Source organism: Homo sapiens, chromosome 8, assembly GCF_000001405.40.
Source record: "Homo sapiens chromosome 8, GRCh38.p14 Primary Assembly".
Classification (NCBI taxonomy): domain Eukaryota; kingdom Metazoa; phylum Chordata; class Mammalia; order Primates; family Hominidae; genus Homo; species Homo sapiens.
This window is the reverse complement of record NC_000008.11, coordinates 134,810,223-134,831,620: the sequence shown is the minus strand read 5'-3', so window position 1 is coordinate 134,831,620 and position 21,398 is coordinate 134,810,223. Positions and strand designations below refer to the sequence as shown.

The 21,398-nt window shown below is 36.5% G+C and overlaps 1 protein-coding gene across 1 annotated transcript in view; it reads left to right on the top strand.

Annotated features, from left to right (window-relative positions):
• Positions 1-21,398, top strand: part of ZFAT (zinc finger and AT-hook domain containing) — a 354,552-nt gene that overhangs the window by 719 nt on the left and 332,435 nt on the right. The gene's annotated exons all lie outside the window — the stretch shown is intronic.

Here is a 21,398-nt window from a genome sequence, read left to right as displayed (position 1 = left end):
GTTGCAAGAAACTCTGCCCTCGGGACGAGGCGCCTTGCTTTTTGCCGGGGCCAGCGAAAGTGGCGGATTTCACAGCAAAACTCGGGTGAAGCCAGGCTGGACCGGCCGGGAGTGAGAGAGGCCGGGAGCACCCGTCTGGATGGGGACCAGAGATGAACGAATCCGCCTGTGTGTAGCACCAGGGCATGATGTGTGCACGTTGCTATGCCAGTGTTTAATGTTTGTTGCTTATGGTTATTTTAGGACTAAATGATAAAAAAGTTACTTGGGAGAGAGGGAACTGCTTGATTTGACATGAGTTCTTCACTTGTGCATGCAGGAAATACATTAATCCTGTACACACACAACTGAATTTATGTCCAGTGGACTTTACAAATAATATACACAAAATTCTAAAGCCCCGAAGCAAGGTGATGTGTGTCTGAAGAGTTTCAGGTGTCAGGCTCCGTGTTCCGTGGGAACAAAATAGGAGGACACCGAAGTACTTGATATGCCCAAGCAGTCATCTTTTTGTAATAAGCTTTGGATACCATCAAAGTGGAGTTTAGTTGTAACTGCCAGGGTTAAGTAATCGCATTGACCCGGTGCCACCCACCAGTTTGGAGCTTCTCTGAAAGTAATTTACGAGACAGTCCTGTGCTGATTGTGAATAACCAGTGCTTTTGCTGATTTTTTTCCTGTTTAATTTTACACTGTCATCATGTATGTGTATGCTACCTGTTTACCAAACGTTAGAATGAATTATCCATAGTTAAACTCTCCACTAAATCACTAAATCAGGTACTAGCTGTGGCATGTCTTTAAAAATATATATATTTGAATGTTACCTGGAAATTACCGATATAATGGTTTCAAGCTGATAGGGATTTTTTGAACTTAAGTCTAGCATAAACATTATCCCAAGTGGATGTGTTTTAAAATTTAAATCTCATCTAAGAAAACTTCCTGGTTTGTGAAAGGTGCAGGATTGTGATGATAGCTGAGGAAATGCCAGAGAGAATTTTTGGTAGAGAATAAGAGAACAACCTGTGAATTTGGTGTTAACCAGCAGTCTCGGCATATACTCACTTGCTCCTTACCTAAGCATTTCTGATATGTGGGTGCTTTTTCTGTTGATTATGTATCTTTGGTTATTTGTCATTTTCAAAAAGTTTCCTCAACAGAGGACCCTCACTTTGAAATTGAGTCCTTGTGGCATGTAGCCGGGATACCAAAAGTTTTCAGTACCAGATGCAGAGAGAGATCAGTCCGTTTGGGATCTTGTTAATTCTTTCTGTGCAGCTACTTTTGTGCTGTGAGGTCTCTTTTACATCTTGCTCCTATTGGCCATAGCTGACATATGTCTGTATACAGTCCTGTAGTGGGGTACTTAATTGTTACAACCTGAAAAGATTATTTCTTGTAATATATAAATAAATTTTTATGTTTTTCTCTCTTCTCTCTTTTTCAAGGGAACTGTAGAATTGGACAAATCAACACTTAGCATGTCCCCCTCCTGTAGGTCTTGTTGACCTTGGTGGCATCGTGGAGGTCATATGTTCATGGAGATAAACAGTTCTTGAACGGTTTACTCCAGGTGGTAAAAACACATGGGAAAGTGATTTGGGCTGTGCGTATCTTGGTTTTTTAAAAAATCATTTTTATCGAGCGTTTATTGTGATCATGGCCAAAAATAAAATAATTCTTTGACTTTTTTTGAAATACTATACACACATTTCTATATTACATTTTTAAGAATTGCTTATTTTTCAATTTTTCTAGTATTTCTTGTATATTCTACCACAGGTGAACAACTCATTTTTTGGGTGACATTTTTAGAGCTTGCTTGAGGGGCACTAGAAAGAAGGGCAGTAATGTGATGTGAATGTTTCAGCTTATGAAAACAGCTGTGCTCTACTTTAAGAAATTTGACATTTAAAAGTGTAAGATTGCAAAACAAATTAATTACTAGTTGGTTATATTATGTGAGAATTTTAAAAAAGGGATTCACTAAAAGTTGTTTTCAAATACTTAATCCCTTTAAATGGTATTTATCTAATGTGATTTGATTTGTGAATAATCAGTTGGCATACAACAATTTAGGAACAGATTTTTGGCATATGTAAGGGTTATCAGTGTGTTCTTTGAGTTCTCTCTTTACCAAAAGTATTTGGGGACAAAGTTAAATTCAGTGTTGTTCCACTTATATGCCACCTATAATGGTTTAACTGAGTGGGAAAATTGTCATCTGATTTATCCCATATCATTTAAGGCAGCGGTGTCCAATCTTTTGGCCTCCCCGGGCCACGTTGGAAGAAGAAGAATTGTCTTGGGCCACACATCAAATGCATTAACAATAACTAATGAGCTTAAAAAATTGCAACAAAAATTTCATATTTTTAGAAAGTTTACACATTTGTGTTGGGCCTCATTCAAAGCTGTCCTGGGCCATGGGTTGGACAAGCCTGATTTAAGGAGTACATTGAAGCCTAATTAAAATGCTTTTCACCATTGAGTAAAACTTTATGATCAGGTTTGTCAGGAACCTCATCCAAGGTAGTTTAGTTAGTGGAGTATCAAAAGCACCTTGTTGTCAGACACTCTCACTAGGACAGTGGTCCCCCAGCAGAGGCCAACAAGCAGTTATACCCAAACTTCAGCAAAATCAAAATAAGTAGATTTGGTCTAAAGTCCACAAGCAGTAAAAACCGTTACCTTGAAATTTTCTGTAGGTGCAAATTATTCTTCAGAATTAAAGGCTTGATTTTCCTAAGCTGTAATTCTGTTTGAGTCACTTGTGAAAAATGCTATTTTGGTAAAAGAACAACTATGTATTCTTTCAAAGGAGTTTTTTCCCTTTGTGTTAATGCATTTGCGTTTATTTGGAATTGCAGGAGATGATGAATGAAGTACTTGGGAAGTTTAATTCAGAAATCATTTTGCTTTGCTTATGTAGAAAAAAAAGGAATGTGAGTTAATAGGAGAACTTATTTGTGGGTTAGTTCGTACTTCATGTGGGGATAAGGAGGAAAGGGAGGAAGTAGCTGCAAACTTTATTAAGGATAACTAATCAAGTTTCATTTGATTTATACTGTTCATGCCTGGCTTGGGTAACAGTGACGCCTTCACCTTTTCCTAGTTTTCGAGAAATTTTATTCTTAGAGAAGGGGTTTGAAGGATAAGAGCTAAGCATCAGGGCATACAAGAAGTAAAAAATATCTTCAGAATGCTTAATAGTATTTTGTTTTGTTTTTATACATTAGAAAGCAAGAAATTATTTTAATACTGAATATGGGTCAAAAGCCCAACTTCGGGATACTGGGCACGGTTTCATACCTCTTAGCATAATTGAATATTATAAAAATGGAAGGAACAGCTTGAATGGTGCCATTGATTTTTTTAGTACAGGCTCTTAGTTCCTCAATTGAACAAATGAGTAAAAATGAAGATTAAAGAAGAGATGATATTAAAAGAAGTGTTTTCCATTTTTTAAAAAATCCCAAGGGACTGTCTCAAATGACTGTTAATTTCAGAACATAGATTAAAAAGTACATTACATTGGATTTATGATTAATGAGGACACAATTACAATTTTTAAAAAATACATGTAAAAAAGGTGAGTATACTACTGCAGTTTACAAATATTTGTGCCAAGATACGTGAGGCTAGTGGTAATGATTAGAAATTATAATTGGAAGTGAAGACTGATTTATGTTCTCAATTTCATTATTTAAGCCAATGTCACTTTTAAAATGTCACTTAATTTTTCTATTCCCAATGTTCTTTTCAATAAAATGCAGTCATTAGTGCACCATACTTTATGTAAACTGGGGTTTCAAAATAATATTAACTAGAATTTTTTTTTTTTTTTTTTTAGACAGAGTCTCACTCTGTCACCCAGGCTGGAGTGCAGTGGCGCGATTTTGGCTCAATGCAACCTCCGCCTCCCGGGTTCAAGCAATTCTCCTGCCTCAGCCTCCCAAGTAGCTGAGATTACAGGCACCCACCACCACGCCTGTCTAATTTTTGTATTTTCAGTAGAGACGGGATTTCACCATGTTGGCCAGGCTGGTCTCAAACTCCTGACCTCAGGTGATCCGCCCTCCTGGGCCCCCCAAAGTGCTGGGATTACAGGTGTTAGCCCGTGCCCAGCCAATTTACTAGATTTCTTAAGCATAAAATATTATCTAATAATATGTATATGTATGTCCACTACATGGGATTTTTAAAAAGTTTAGATTTTGTGATCTGCAGAACTGTAGGCAACAGTTCTTAAAAATAAGAAAGGCTGAGTTCAGGCCAGGCGTGGTGGCTCATGCTTGTAATCCCAGCACTTTGGGAGGCCGAGATGGGCAGATTGCCTGAGCTCAGGAATTCAAGACCAGCCTGGTGAAACCCTGTCTCTACAAAAATAACAAAACAGTTAGCTGGATGTGGTGGCACACGCCTGTAGTCCCAGCTACTTGTGGGGCTAAGGTGGGAGGATCGCTTGAGCCCAGGAGGTTGAGGCTGCAGTGAGCCGAGATCACGCCACTACACTCCAGTCTGGGATGACAAAGCAAGACCCTGTCTCCCTCTCCGGACACCCCTAAAAAAGAAAGGCTGAGTTCAGAGTTTTAGTCATGGGTGACCCTATAAATTGCAATTTCTTTTTCTCCCTAAAGGGTTTTCTTTCACTATTACATGTTTGTGTTTTCCTGATTCCACTCATGCTACTGTTAGGTGTTGGATCATCTTACCTATAGCGTCAATACAAAGTTCATTTGTAAAAACTGTTCCGTTTATTTTCTCCCAGCTGTTTCATCTGAGAATTTTGTTTGAATTTCAGTTGCCAAATGTAGTTTAATCGGTTACTCTAAATAGAAAGGTTATTGCAATTTTCACAAACTAGGGGAAATATAAATTTATCTTAAGTTTATGAACATTTTTATATTCCTGTGGGGACAACTAAGCACAGTATGTATAATTTAATATCTCTGTTGGCATTTGTTCTAAGTTAAATTTATTTGCTGTATTGTTAAAATCAATGTAGTAAGGTGTACAGTCTTTTAAAAACAAATCTGTTTCTCTGTGGAATATTTTTCAAAAGGACCTGAAAAACATGCTCTTAAATAGATGGAGTGGAAATTTTACTATTAAAGTGAATGTATAGTTAAATGTGTGATACTGGTATTGTTTTGATTGTTTTTATTTTACATGTGAGGATTTTTTACATGTTTCTGTGGAACTACTTTTAAGTAGGTTTTAATTTTGATTTATAAACAAGCTTCTCTAAAAGAAAAAAGTTGTTTTGTTCTTCGTGATTATATGGTAGTCCTCAGACTTTTGTAGTTGAAAGAAGTAGAAATGAGTGATTTATTAAGCTGTTTATGTAAAATGACTAGTTGGAGCAGGTGATGTAATTTATTTTTACTATAATGTGCAGAGATGTCTTTATCCCAAACAAATTTATAGCTGAATCGTTTGCTATTTTTTGCAAATTTAGGGAATCTGGAATGTGCCCAGAAATGAACTGATTGCCAAGTGTTCGATTGAGTAAATATCATATGGAAATGGTTTTTTGCTTGTAATGACATATTGTTACTGATTAAGGACCATTTCTTTTCTTTTTTTTTTTTTTTGAGACAGAGTCTCGCTCTGTCGCCCAGGCTGGAGTGCAGTGGCGCAATCTCGGCTCACTGCAAGCTCCGCCTCTCGGGTTCACGCCATTCTCCTGCCTCAGCCTCCTGAGTAGCTGGGACTACAGGCGCCCGCCACCACGCCCGGCTAATTTTTTTGTATTTTTAGTAGAGAAGGGGTTTCGCCATGTTAGCCAGGATAGTCTTGATCTCCTGACCTCGTGATCCGCCCGCCTCGTCCTCCCAAAGTGCTGGGATTACAGGCATGAGCCACCGCGCCCAGCCTGAGGACCATTTCTTAAGTATGCCTGTAAGTAAATATACTACACATATTGGTCAAATGATGTATTGACAGCTTTAATTTGTAGCGTATGCTTCTCTCACTCCTTTTTCCTTTTAGTAATTGTCAATAGTTTGTCTTCAGCCGTATTCTGTGAGTGAACTTCTAATGCGCTGATAGAGTGCTCCAGGGTTGTTGTTTTCTAATGTTTTATCTGATGGAGTAAAGAAATAACTATCTGAGATCCTTGTGTAACTCTTATTGTGTGTTAAACATTGTTTTGAACATTTCTTTTCAATCTGTTAATTATAAAGCAGATGATTCTTTAAAAATTCTTAAGACTGAGTGATTGTGTTCCCCACAAATGTTAGTACTGGGAGGGAAGGGGGTAAAGGTAAAGAGAAAGATCATAGGGATTAGTTTAGATTGTATAAAGTAAGTGTAATTGTTTCGTTCTAAAACATGTTGAGCTAATCATTGTATGCCTTTTCCCTGGGATTATAACCTTGATTTTTAATTCACGCTTCTCACTGTGAAGAGTCAGGAGTAGTGAATTGTAAGAGAGGCATATGTACCTCTTTAACCAGTTTTACATGTTATTGCTGGGAATATTAGATGGCAATAAGGAAGACAAACAGTTTCACAATGATGATCATTTTTAGTAATCACATTTAGATTTCCAAATTTTATAAGGTGGAAGAATAGACACCATAGTTATAGATGGAGAAGGGCTTTTAGACAGAAGGTCATTGTTAGGAAAATTCAAGTTTACCAATCTTGGAAAAAAAATTACACTTATGCCAGTTACATTCTATGCCTTACAGCACTGCACTGTACCAGTTTTGAATATTCTGTGTCCATAAATACACTAGTATTTGTCCAACCATGAATTCTGACTTTTAGGTTAGAAAATGTGTTCATTTAAATGATAGTTTTAACTTGAGTGAAAAAGCTGGTAATTTTTATCTTCTTTTTTCTGTATTATAATTTTTTGTCATTAATTTTGAAGATCTCATGCTATATGATTAGTTCTGTATATGACTACTTCTGTAATTGATGAACAACTACTAGAATGAATTATTGTACTTGAGCACTTAGAATCATGTCAGGAGAGGCATGAAGTAAGTAGAACATATTTGTGTAGAGATAATAATTTTACTTTCTAAAGCAGTGATTTTGAAACTCTTGCTGAGAGTGTGCTGGAGGAAGTCAAGCATTTCATCCCGGTTTCAACCAGTGCTGTTTTATTTTGATTAATTTTAAGCGTGGAAGTTTGCATAGTATTTCAGTTGAGCAAGGTTCTGTTGTTTAAAAATACGATAGCCTCTATTGTTACCATATTTGCTCTTATCACTTGCCTGCTTAAATCCTTGCTATTTTTTTATTGTTATTACGACTGATAAGACTTTTCTTTCCCTAGCTCCAACTTTATTCTTTATCTCTGATCACTTTTTCCTTTCCATGTAAACCCTGCATTCTAATTCTACTTAAATTGTTTGATGTTCCCTGAGAGGAAAATGTTATTTTTACATCTGCATGCCTTCGCACATGGAACTGCCACCATTCTCACTTGAGCTAGGCAGCACTCAATTCCCTTGGAACCTTGGTCATCTTTCCATAAAAGCAGTTATTACATTGTTTTGTAACCGTGGCCTCCCTTGAGAGCAGAGACCATCTAATTTATCTTGTATTCATACTACTTGGTGTTTATTCAGTATTCAAATGTCTGTTGAATTATTGCATTTAGAATTTGAGAAGTAGTAAAATTACTTTAATAAACACTAATGTGAATAAAATATCCCAGATCTAGTTCTGTGCAAAAGAGTTTTAGTGACAGTGTCCGACATTATGCTAAATATATAAAAGGCACCCATTTGCACTTATCATGAAGTATAATAAATCCAAAATATTTTTTTAAATTATATTAGATTCTAATGGCTTAAGTGATATCTTAGATTCAGTGATCTGATCTTAAAAGTTGATTGTGAAAGCATTTTAATAATTCTATACAGCCTTGGCTGCCTGTGATAATATTTCATATGCGATTAAAGCTGATAGACTTAAAGGGGCCTTCAAGTGTCAAGATATGTAATACAGCAATACCAACTCTAAAGGTAGAATGAAACCTGGAGCTATCCTGCCTGAATTCCTATCACTCTCCTGTCTCTCAGTAGCTGTGTTGTCTTAGGCAAGTTACTTAACCATTCTATACCTCCTTTTTCTCATCAGTAAAATGAACACAATGATAATATTACTTTATATGGCTGTGGGGAAGAGTAGCCAGGAATTAATGTATATAAGCACTTAAAAGAATGCCTGACATACAGAAAATACTCAATACATGTTAACTGTAATTAATTTGAAGTGGCTTCTTAAATCAATATTTATTGTGCATCATTTTCATCTTTTAAAGATAATTGCTTTAATACTTGAGTATCTAATTTTTTTTAAACTTAAGATTTTTAGTTAGTTACTGTGTTTTAGACTGGCAACTGTTTCAGTACTTTCCAAAACTGCTATCTCTACTGAGGTATTGTCCTGTCTCCCAGTGAAATGTAGGCTGTTCCCGTTGGATGGATTGACATGGGAGATTTGAAACTAGTTCTCCTGATTTCTGAGCTTATCATTGAGTTCCCATGACCAGGTGTTGGTAGTGTCCACAACAGAGCAGGAAGAGAAATAGTACAGAATTCCAGTGGCAAGTTCTTAAGCCTTAACCTGTACTTTAAGTCAGTCCTAAACTTTCATATTCCTTAGTAGAGAACAGATGTTCCCCTTTTTTTCCCCCACATTTTCCTTTTTTGGCTTGGGGGAATAGATTTTTTAAAAATCTGAATTTATATTCCAAAAAGGCATGTGCAAGTTAATTTTCCTAAGTCAATGAAGCCGCTTTTTAATCTTACTTTGTAAGATGCATACCTGCAGTGAGAGAAGTAGGTAGGGCTTTAGTAATTTGTGTCAGGGACCATGTCCTATTAAATCCTGTGAAAATATGCACATGTAGTACACAAAGAAAAATTTAAGGGAAGAAGAGTTTTTTCCAAGTTATTTTATAAAGTATTCTTTATAAAAGTATATTTCTTGTAATAATCCCCCATCTGTCCTTCTAGCCCACCTTTACTTTCTCACACTTATGCTCTCATAACAATTAAAATATAATCAAAGTTACTTGGGTAACTTAAAAAATTTTCATTATAGGAAGGAAATGTGTTTTGAAAATCAGAAATTTTTCAAATTTTAATAAATTTTAGTGTTTTTTATGCAAGCTGTGAGTTGAAGATGAGGGGCTGGGATATAAAGCTAAATCGGGTACTTATCTTTATTACTTATGACCTACTAGGGTGTCCAGAGTATGCAGAGAACATATGGGAATTTGGAAGCTGGGAATGGAGACTGGAAAAGTGCTGGATTTTGAATAGTGCCAGGAAATAAAGGAAGACTTAGCAAGGGATCATTTTTCAATGCCAGTGACATGCTGTGTAATAGTCTACCATGGGAAATTTGAATGCTTATACGATTGGTCAGTATACTAATATTGTCTTGTAATTTGAACACTAACTCTTAATATTAACAAATTTTTTTCTCAACAGCCATCGTAGGAACTTTTAAAATAGGTTTTGCATTTCCCCTGAAAATGGTGAGTTAGGTCATATTAGGAAAAATAAATTCTAGAATAAATACAATTTTGATTAAACCGGTTTTCTCTATAAAAACCCAAGACGCTGTATCTATCTTTAATGTTATCTATTGTTAAAATTTCATTTCCCTCAACAGCATGCATTTCCATGTTTATTAGACCAAACAACTTCTTGTTTTACTTCTTACCTTTGTTTTTCCTTGTTGTTGTTATTTAATTAGAAAAGAAATGCTGTTTGGGCCTTTTCATATGCCTCAAAAATGTTTGGTTACACAGAGGAGTGAGTTAGATTTATAGGACTCACACCCAATTTGATCTCCTCAAGTGCATTTCTAACCATGTTTTCATCCACTTTTCCTTGTTTTAGGTTTCTCATAGAAACAGCTTTTCATTGAGCTAAATGTATTTCCTCTCTTACTCGTTCTTGGAAATCTAGGACTATGTATGTGAAACTTCTTATTCTTGTACACAATAACTCTTAAGTATTTGAAAATGACTGTTCTACTTCAGTCTTCTTTTTTGCCAAACTGAGGGAAAAAATTCTTTTTTTTTTTTTTAAACCGCATGCATGTGACATGGTTTACAGACCTTTCCCCATCTATATCGCTCTACTCATGACAAAGTTTTTGTCAGTTTACCTCTGAAAATACAGTGGCCAGAACTGAACTGACTACTTCCGATGTGGTCTGACCATTGCTGAATACAGTGAAGCTATTATCTAGGATACTGTGTTTCTATTAATGTAGTCTGAAATTTGCATTGCATTTTTTTGGCAGCCACATTACCCTTTGATCACATTCAGCTTATAATCAACTAAAACCTTGTCTTTTTTTCATGTGAATTACTTTAAGTCTAATCTTTGTCACTCTTTACTTGCCAGTTGATGCTTTGAAAGTAAATGTAGGATATTATGTATTGCATTACTATAAAACTTTAAATGAATTTATATATCTGAAGATATCACCATTTGTATAAAATAGCACAGTTTTCATGGTGTTTTCACATCTATTTAATCTTCACAACAACCATCTGAGAATCAGAAAAACTGACTTTCCACTAAGTCTAGAATTGGCACATGTAGAACTTCATTGCAAGCTTTTTGATTCCAGATCTCATGCTCATCTCATCATTATTCATTCACTTAATATGCATTTAGTGTGTCCATTCATATATGGTAGGCACCATGTGGTGCTGGTGTGTCAGGGGCGAGACACATTACAGTCTCTATCCTTGTGTTTATGATCTGGTGTATAAATACTACCAATTACTAGGCACTTTTCATAAGGAAGGCACTGTGGTAGACTATTATTTCAAAAATATTTATTGCTTCTCTCTATCAGGGTTCTTTCTGTAGTCGGATTATACTTCTTATTCTGTTGACATCAGGTTTGACCATTTGGCTTTCCTTGACCAATAAAATGTTAAAGTGACATGTCCCATGTTTGAGCAGATATTTTTCATCCTGTGGTTCTGCCAGTGGCCCTTGACCCTCTGTCATGGAACCAGCATGACTTAGCTATGGCTGGTCCCAGAATAATGGAGCAGAGCTGAAGCCAATCTGTGATAAGCATATAAGTGTGAGATAAATACTGTGCTGTAAGGCACCATGATTTTGGACATTTGTTACCATAGCAGAATATAGTTCAAGCGATGATACTGGCATCACTCAAGGTGCTGTATGATGATGATAAGACTTGGGCATTGTCCTAAAGGAGCTTACAGTCTTGGTAGATGTATTACATTTCCACAGGTTATTGGGAGTTGAGGAAAAGGAGAGTAATATTACATAAGGATCTTTGAAGTTGAGGATCTTTCCTGACCTCCATCTCATCCCTAGGCTGAATCAGTCAATATGTTTTAAACCCTGGGTTTGTGATCCACTACTCACTGTCACAACCTCTTATTGTCCAAAATTTGATAGGCATATTTTCTATGCCCTCATTCAAATCACCTTTTTTAAAACAAACATTTAAGAGGATGAACTTCTACAGAATTGTGATTATAAGCTTCCTTCATAAATCTATTAATCAGCATTTAATAGCAAGCTAAGAATATACCCAGTTAAACTGTTTCTCTATTATCCAGAAAGATATCATGATGTCCTAGATTCTATGTGAATTTTATTTGTGAGCATTTAAATTTCCCATTGTCATGTCTATGTGTGCTTCTCACTCTGCATGGGATTTTAAAGAAACAAAACCTTGGCTGGGATTCCAAAAGGAATCTTTTTTTTTTTCTTCCCCCCGTGAGAAGCTAAGGAATACATACATGGCCAAGGTTCAGAAGAGTTTTGAAACCTTTGAAATAATTACATGTAAAATTTTATGTAAATATACATTGTTCTGGTCCCTAGCTTTCATCATATTATCAAAGGAAATCAAAAACTCCCCTGGAAGGTTGTAAACCCTGTTGAAGAGTGAGACTAGAAGTAGAACAAGGATCTGAAGAGCACCAATATTTAAGGGACAAGTGGAATAGGAGCCCAGAAAGAAGTCAGAGAAGGTGTAGTTAATTAGAATATTGGAGGAGCGGGAGCAAATGTAATGTCAGAGAAACCAGTTCCTTATTAATCAGAGCTTTTGTGGTGTGTTGGGGGGCGGGGGGGGGGGGTGGTAAATCCGGCAGTTCTCATGGCGTTTCATTGTGATTCCTTGGAAATTACCAAATCTGCAGATACATTTAATGTCTTGGGATAATATTTTTCTTGACCTATAAACATGAATTAAAAGTGATTACTTTTCTTTTGCTGTCTCCTTCCTATCTTGGACTTTGATTTTTCTTTTAATCCGTATCCTTCACAGATTAAAAGATCATTCTTTTTTTTCCTTTTTTTTTTCCTTCACCCCCTTCCTCTTCCCCTTCCCACTCCCAGACCGATTCAAGGCAGGAGTAAAACAATTATGTAGGTTATCTGTTAGCAGTTTTATTGCAAGTAAGTAACCTGGCTTTTGTTTGTTGTTGTTGAGAATGTATTTAAGTCTTTTTATTGTCCTTAACACTTTCGGCAAGTCTCTATTTTTATTGAAACAATTTTATTGACATATAGTTGTTATACAATAAATGGCATATATTACAATGTGCAGTTTGTTAAGTTTTGACGTGTTTATCCATGAGACCATCACCACAGTCAAGACACTAAACATATACCCCCAAAAGTTTTCTGATGTCCCTTGATAACCCTCCCCTGCATTCTCTAGGCAACCATTATCTGTTTTCTTTTACTTTACATTGGCATGCATGTCTTAGAATACAATATGCACTCCTTTTGTCTGGCTACTTTCACCCAGCATTATTTGGAGATTCATCCGTGTTGTACCATGCACCAATAGTTACTCTTTCTTATTGGTAAGTAGTATTCCATTGTATGGATATACCACATTTTGTGTATCCATTCACCTTTTGATAATCTATTTGGGTTGATTCCAGTGTTTGACTTTTAAAGTAAAGCTTCTATGAATATGTATGTACATGTCTTTGTATGGACATAAACTTTTCATTTCTCTGGGCATACACCTAGGAGTAGAATGACTGAATCATATGGTAGCTATATGTTCTATACCTACCTAGTTTCTTCTTAAACTGCCAGTGGTTTTCCAAAGTGGCAGTACCATTTTACATTCCCACCAGCATTATGCTATCATTTGGTGCAGTCAGTCTTTTTAATTATTGCCATTCTAATTAGTGAGTAGTGGTGGTTTTAATTTGCATTTCTCTAATGACTGCTGATGGTTAGCATCCTTGCATATGTTTATTTGCCATCCCTTTCTCTTTTGGGAAGCATCTGTTCAAATCTTTTACCCGTTAAAAAAATCTGGTTGGTTGTTTTCTTACTGCATTCTGAGGGTTCTTATGTATAAATCCTTTATCAGATTTATGATTTGCAAATATTTTTCCAGTCTATGGTTTGTCTCTTCATTCTCTTAACAATGTCTTTTGAAGGGCAAAGGTTTTAATTTTGATATCTAATTTATCAGTTCTTTTATGGATTGTACTTTTGGTACTGTATCTAAAAATGTTTTTTTTGCGTAATTCAAGGTCAACAAAGGTTTTCTCCTGTGCTTTCTCCCTGTAGTTTTAGGTTTTCTATCTAAATATAGTGATCCATTTTGAGTTAAGTTTTGAGTATAGAAAACTTTTCTATCTGGATGTTCTTAAGACACCATTTGTTGAAAATTTATCCTTTTTCTATTGAATTCCCTTTTCCCCCTGTGAATAATCAGTTGACTTTATATATGTAGTAGTTCTATTTTGGACTCGATTTTGTTCCATTGAGGTATTTGTTGATCTTGACACCAGTGCTGCACTGCGTTGATTATTCAGTGTTGAAATCATGTAGTCTTCCAATTTTCTTTTTTTCAAAGTTATTTTTGCTAGTCTAGGTATTTTACATTTCCTTATGAATTTTAGAATAAGTGTCAGTTTTTTTAAAAAGCTTGCTTGACGTTTTGATTGGAATTGCAGTGAATCTGTAGGTCAATTTGGAAAGAATTGACATTTTAAAATTATTGAGTCTTCTGACCCATGAACATGGTATAGCACTTGGTTTAGGGCTTCATTAATTTCTCTCAGTAATGTTTGGTAGTTTATAGGATGCAAGTCTTTTATATTTTGGTCTCGTATATGCCTCTGTAAGTTGGGTTCTGCAGAGAAACAATCAATAAGGGTGCGTTGTGTGTGTGTGTGTGTGTGTGTGTGTGTGTGTGTGTGTGTGTAGAGAGAGAGAGACAGAGAGATTGATTTTAAGAAATTGGCTCGTGATTGTGGTGGGTGGCAAGTCCAAAATTCATAGAATTGGCAGGCAGGATGGAACCTTAGGCAGGATTTCTCTTACAGTCTTGAGATAGAATTCCTTCTTCCTTAGGTTATCTGGTTTTGCTCTGAAGGCCTCATTTGATTGGATGAGGCCCACCCATGTTATGGAGGAGAGCTCTTTTTCTTAATGTCAACTGATTGTTATCGTTAATCACATCTACAGAATAGCAATAGCTAGACTAGTGTTTGATCAACTGGGCAGCATAGCCTAGCCAAGTTGACACATTAAATTAACTATTAATATCATTGCAATCCCTGAATATTTCATATTTTAAAATACTTTTGTAAATGGTATACTTTTTTTTTTTTTTTTTGAGATGGAGTCTTACTCTGTCACCCAGGCAGGAGTGCGGTGGCATGATCTCTGCTCACTGCAACCTCCGCCTCCCGGGTTCAAGCCATTCTCCTGCCTCGGCCTTCTGAGTAGCTGGGATTATAGGCATGCACCACCATGCCCAGTTAATTTTTGTATTTTTGGTAGAGACTGGGTTCCACCATATTGGCCAGGCTGGTCTCGAACTCCTGACCTCCTGATCCACCCACTTTGGCCTCTCAGTGTTGGGATTACAGGCGTGAGCCACCGTGCCTGGCCAGTGGTATGCATTTTTAAGCTCAGTTTCTGATTGATGCTAGTTCACTATTGCTTTTTAAAAAATACTTTAGCCTTCTTTTCATTATTAAACTCATATGACTAGCAGCCTTTTCATTTGAAATTAGGATTACCCTCTATTTTTAGACGTATCCTTTAAAAATACGAATTTTTTAAAGAAAAGTCCTAATGTTGTTACTTAATCTCTCACTTTTTTTTTTTTCTTTTTACTGGAATCATCTGACAGAAATGGCAATTTCATTTCAAGAGTCTTGTCTTATTTTTCTGGGCCATGTTCTGGTTGTTTTTTTCATCACAGGATTGTAACAGTCCTTAAATATTTTAGAGATTAAAATTCTAGGTCAATTTAGAGCATAATTGGCAAAATAGACATGTTACCAAAAACAGAGATATAGGAAGTTTGGGAGAGAAGTTAAGGTTCATATTTTAGGTATGACCTTTATGCTAGTCTCTTTCTTTGATAAAGTCATTTAATTTCTTTGAGTCCTAGTTCCTCATCTGTAAAGTAGAGTAATATCCACCTCCTGTGGAATTGTCATGAAGTTAAATGAGATGCTTTGTGTAAAGAGCCTGGACTAGTGCTGCTAAATAGATGCAGCTCCCTTTACTATATTTTTATTTATTCAGTAAATATTTGACACTCACTATATGCCAGACACTGTTCCAGACTCTGGAATTAGAGGAGTGAAAAGATAGGCAACATTCCTATTCTTACAGAGCCTCTATGTTGGCTGTTCTGACAGAAGAGGAAGATAAACAAGGAAAGGAATAAACTAAACAATTTCAGATTGTAGTAAGAAGTGTAAAGAAAATCAAAGAGTGCGTGGTAATAAAGAATTGCTGTGGTGAAAGCCCACTTCAGACTAAGTAGTCAGGGAAGACCTCTTTAAAAAGGTGACATTTGAGTAGAAATGCCCTTAGGATTTTGGAGAAACTAGGCATGTGAAGATCTGAGTGAAAAAGTTTCCTGGCAGAGAGAAGAGATAGTGCAAAGCCTCTAAAGTGAGAAAAATGTGACAAATTGAGAGAATTGAATGAAGCCTAGAGGTGCTGATTGCAAGTAGTGGAGAAGTCAGAGAGGACCAGCTAGTGTAGGGTCTTACAAGCCACAATAAGAAGAATGGATTTTATTCTAGGTGCAGAGAGAAGCCACTGGAGGGTTTTAAAACAGAGGTGTTGTGATCATTAGATGGAAATGTTGCTGTGGACTTTCAGAAATGTGAACTTAGCTGTGAAACGTTAGCAAACTAAATACTAGCAACTTGGATTTCTAGTTGGCCAAGAAACATGAGGGTAAACAATTTATTTTCCCTGATTAAAAAAAATCCCAGCAAGTCTCTAGCAAAAGCAAGTCTAGGTTATCTAGAGCAAATACCATTTTATATCTTTTTAATTTTACTAAGACTTGTTATGCAATTATAGATGTTACAGATGTTTTCAAAAATAGTGCTTTGTGGATTGTTTTCCTTTTATGAGTCCATGTGGCAATTGACTAGCATAGCAGTAAAAAGTACAACTCTGGTTTCAGATACGAGCATGATGATTGATCACATAGAAGCATTAAGTTAATATTAACAAGGATCTATTGCCAGAATATATTTCATTATAGGATTTTGAAATTATTTAGCTGAATGGACCTTAAGAGTTGGTCTTTTTTCCTTTATAGAAGAGGGAACTTAGATTCAAAGGGGTTAAGTGATTCACATTATTTAAACATTTAAAAAATAAACCTGGATTTTACTATTCTTCTAGTTGTAGGATGACAGGTTCTTGAGGCAAAATGTGGAATGAGAGAAGATAGTGACATCTGTTTGCTTTGTATCTGCTGCCTTCTCTGTTGCTCATTTATTTTACATCTATGCTGTTTCACACTTATCTTTGGACTTAGGGTATTGGGATGTGTCAAACAGTTGCTCCCTTAGTGTGGAAACAGACAAGTAAACACAGTTGCTACACAAGTTGCAGGCATCATATGATAAAGGCAAGCTTAGTGTGTTGTGGAGGGCATGATGGGTGTGTCTGTTAAGTGTCCCTGTTTAGAGTCTGTTTACATACAGAGTTGAATGTCCTTGGCTTCTCATTTCAATTTAATATATATTATATTGCCTTGGCTGTTAGGCCTTTCTTGCACTTGTTTGCCTCCCAGCCATAAGCCAGTTTGAAGGCCATGATCCATCAGGTCTAGTGGGTTAATCCATGTCTGACCAGTAAGACCTACCTATCTTGACAGTCACCATGATGACAGCATGTCTTATTTTAAATAGAAACCTGGTTAGAGACTAATATAAGAATAGTTGGTCTTGAATAGATGTATTCCTTCTCTTAAGCGAGGTAGGTTTTATTAAGCGTTGTATTTTGAAAAATCCTGAAAGGAAATTGAGAAACAGCTATCATTTTGTTAATTTTGGCTCCTTTTACTGTATTTTATTTTGAAGTATAGCCATTCCTAAGAACGCTAGCACATGAGTTCATTGTTGATGTTATAACATATTCTGAATCTTAAAACAAGGTACCAAAAATACATTCATAGAACAAGTAGATAAAGTAGCACTACTATAATTAGGGAAAAATGGTAGTTTTCTTGTAAGCCCTTTCTCTTTCAAGAGCTTATAATTTTCTGTAAAAACCAAACATTATCCTTTGGGCACGTGTGTTTTATTCTTTCTCTTGATTCTGTGTTATAAAGTTTGATTAAAAAGGAAAGATATTAACTTTTTGTCTCCCACACAAAGAATGTTCATAATTGTAATTTTTGGGTATGACTTGTTGCCATACCCTTGAGCCTCCCTTTGTTTAAAGAGTAATAATATATATATTTTTTAATCTATAAAGAAGTATCTTTGACGTGTGTGTGTGTGTGTGTGTGTGTGTGTGTGTGTGTGTATAAAATCAAAACGGCATACCTTTTTGAGAATATTTAGTGATTCCTGAAGACTATATTATAGTTGTATAAAGAATTAGATGGCAGGCCAGGCACGGTGGCTCACGCCTCTAATCCCAGCACTTTGGGAGGCGGCTGAGGCAGGTGGATCAACTGAGGTCAGGAGTTGGAGACCAGCCTGGCCAACATGGTGAAACCCCGTCTCTACTAAAAATACAAAAACATTAGCTGGGCGTGGTGGCCCACACCTGTAATCCTAGCTACCTGGGAGGCTGAGGCAGGAGAATCACTTGAACGGGGAAGCGGAGGTTGCAGTGAACTGAGATTGCGCCATTGCACTGCAGCCTAGGCAACAACAGTGAAACTCTGTTTCAAAAAAAAGAATTAGATGGCAATAGCTTTAGCAATCTAATGTGGTAGGTGATCTGGTATTATCTGTCTCTTTGGTCACATGAGGATAAGGCTGCCCATCTCGGTTATCCATGTCCTGGGCCTTAGGAAGAAGGCAGCCAGAATCTTAGAAATTTGAACTGAGAAAATTGAACACAAGTTAGCAGCCTAAAATATAAAACTGATATAAAAATACAACCAGATTGTGTATGAATTATTGTTTTCTCATCTTTATTTTGTGCAGATCAAGAAACTGAACTTTGCAAGTATTTTCTGTGAAAGGGTGAATAAGCTATCCAAAGTGAGTGATTTTAGCCTGTGTAGAAAACATCTCCAGCTGTGTTAAATATAAAGCTGTCAGTTCTTTGAATATCTCCTTGCAATAATTAATCATCCTTCTCAGTTAACAGCACAGACAGTACAGCACAGGTAAGAGAGTAGGCTCTGAAGCCAGTCTACCAATGCTCTTGTGACTCTGGGTACATTGCTTTCTGTCTCTCATTTCTCATTTACAAAAAGAGGATAGATAACACTAGTACCTACCTAATAGTGTTGTTATGGGGATTAAATTAGTTAATATATATAAAACACTTAGAACATTGCCTCAGAGATAGTAAGCACCATGTATTTACTGTTTGTTGCTGCATATCTATAATACGATTGATTGACTGATTGATTGAGACAGAGTCTTGCTCTGTTGCCCAGGCTGGAGTACAGTGGCATAATCTTGGCTCACTGCAACCTCTGCCTCTAGGGGTTCAAATGATTCTCCTGCCTCAGTCACCTGAGTATCTGGGATTACAGGTATGTGCCACCATGCCCAATTAATTTTTGTATTTTTAGTAGAGACAGGGTTTCACCATGTTGGCCAGGCAGGCTGGTCTCGAACTCCTGGACTCAAGTGATTTGCCCGCCTTGGCCTCCCAAAGTGCTGGGATTACAGGCATGAGCCACTGCGCCTGGCTGTATAATACATTTTAAGTGGCTGGTTTTATTAGTTAAGTTCTCTCAGAGAGTTTGGCATTTGAACTGGTCCTTGAAGGATAAATAGGATTTGTAAAAGTGAAACATAAAGAATTAAAAATGGTAAAAGCTATGTGAATTAAGTTGTTAAGAGGAAGTAAAGAATCTTTGTTTCCATTTATTGCATACTAGCTATGTGCCTGCCTCTGAGCTTAGCATTTGATGATCATTACATTATCTTATTCAATCCTCATAATAACCCTCCAAGATAGGTATTTTATTTTATTTATTTTATTTTATTTTATTGATACAGAGTCTTGCTCTTGTCGCCCAGGCTGCAGTGCAGTGGTGCGATCTCGGCTCACTGCAACCTCTGCCTCCCAGGTTCAGGCTATTCTCCTGTGTCAGCTTCTCGAGTAGCTGGGATTACAGGCGCCTGCCATGATGCCCAGCTAATTTTTGTATTTTTAGTAGAGACAGAGTTTCACCATGTTGGCCAGCCTGGTCTCGAACTCCTGACCTCAGGTGATCCACCCGCCTCAGCCTCCCGAAGTGCTAGGATCACAGGCAAGATAGGTATTTTAAATTGTCATTTAACAGATGGCAAATAGCCACAGAAAAGTAAAGCCACTTTTTCAAACTCACAAAGTCAAATGTTTGGCCTAGTTCTGTCAGACTGTAAAGCCCATGCTTTTAATTGGTATCTAATACTGCTTTCCTATCAGTAGACTATCAGATTATCATTCCTAAAGATATTTAAAAGAATGGGTGCTCTAGGGTTGGAGTTCAAAACATTAATAGAATTATACTATTAAGGTTGCATGTGATCACTTTGCTGCTGTGAGAGACTCTGGATGCTGTGTTTGCTGGTCATTTCAAAGGCTGAAGAGAAACAGACATGCCTGTCCTTGCCAAATACATTGTTTCCCCTATCATTCTGTCACTATGGAAGTACTTGTTTTTTCTGACCTGGGAATAATGGTATTGTGGTTATTGGCGTTTTTGTTACCTTTCTTACTAGAAATTATGCAGATATCCCCAATTATATCCAGATGCACACCTTATATTCCAAATTTTGTTGCCTGGGATTGACTGAGTACCCTTTTGAGTTCCCTGCATCAGAGACGTGTTTACAGTTGTGCTTCCCAGTCTTCAGCATTTATGGTTTCATGTTTGTCAAATTTGTTTGAAGTATAAAAACGATAATCTTAATTCTGTTACTGATCATTCCTTCATTCTCTAGCTATTTGTCACATCATCTTTCTTTTGAAACGTTTAGGGAATTAAGAAATTAATAATTTTATACTCATTCTTTTTCCACTCACATATCTCACTGGCTTTGTTCAGAATTAAATTGTTTTTGGTCCCTGTGTACTATTTCCTTCTATTAATTAACTGACGGTTGTTTCTCTCTTCTGTGTTTTTGATGCTTTTTTTTTTCTTTTACTGTTTAAAACTTTTTCAGAAGATGTAGCGAGTGACTCAGGTGCTAGCTAGTGTTACTGATTTCCCCCCCATGTTAGTTAATACCATGTCAAATATAACTGAAGAACTCTGTTGTACTCACAGATTATGCCCCTCATGGTCAGCAGACTATTCAGATACAGACTTTCAGGGGGAAGGTTTTCAAAAAAGTGTGGCTGCAATCTGTAAATGCTTTTAACATCTGCACATTGCATTACTGTTTTCAAATGTTTTTGTACCACATAATTTTATTTAATATTCACAACTATTCTGTGAGAGCTTTATTCTTTTATGTTGTAGGGTTTTCTTATTTTACAGATTGGGAAACTGGTGTGGAGCGGTTAAATGACTTACTCAAGATTACATAGCTAGTTATAAGTGGAAGGACAAGGATTTGAAGGAACAGGTGTGGCCTCTTCCAGGAAACAGTATAAATAGTCAGACTTTATGAAGGATAAATTGGTAGGAGAGTCATTTATCTCACTTGTCTGTAAAGAGGATTCTTTTTCTCAAGTAGAGCGTGAAGTAGATTATTTACTAGAAAAGCTTGAAAATGCATTTCAGAAAATTAAAACTGCTTTGAAATTAGGTGCATAATAAGAATTGCTTCAGAGCCTGGCATCCGTTGGACATTATACACATATTCTCTGTCAATGAGGTTTACAGTTAAGGTCTCTTCAATCCTTATTTTCTGAAATCTCTTTTTGCTTATATATTGAGACTGAAGTTAGCAATTTTCCTCCAGGTGTGGACTTTGAAAATTA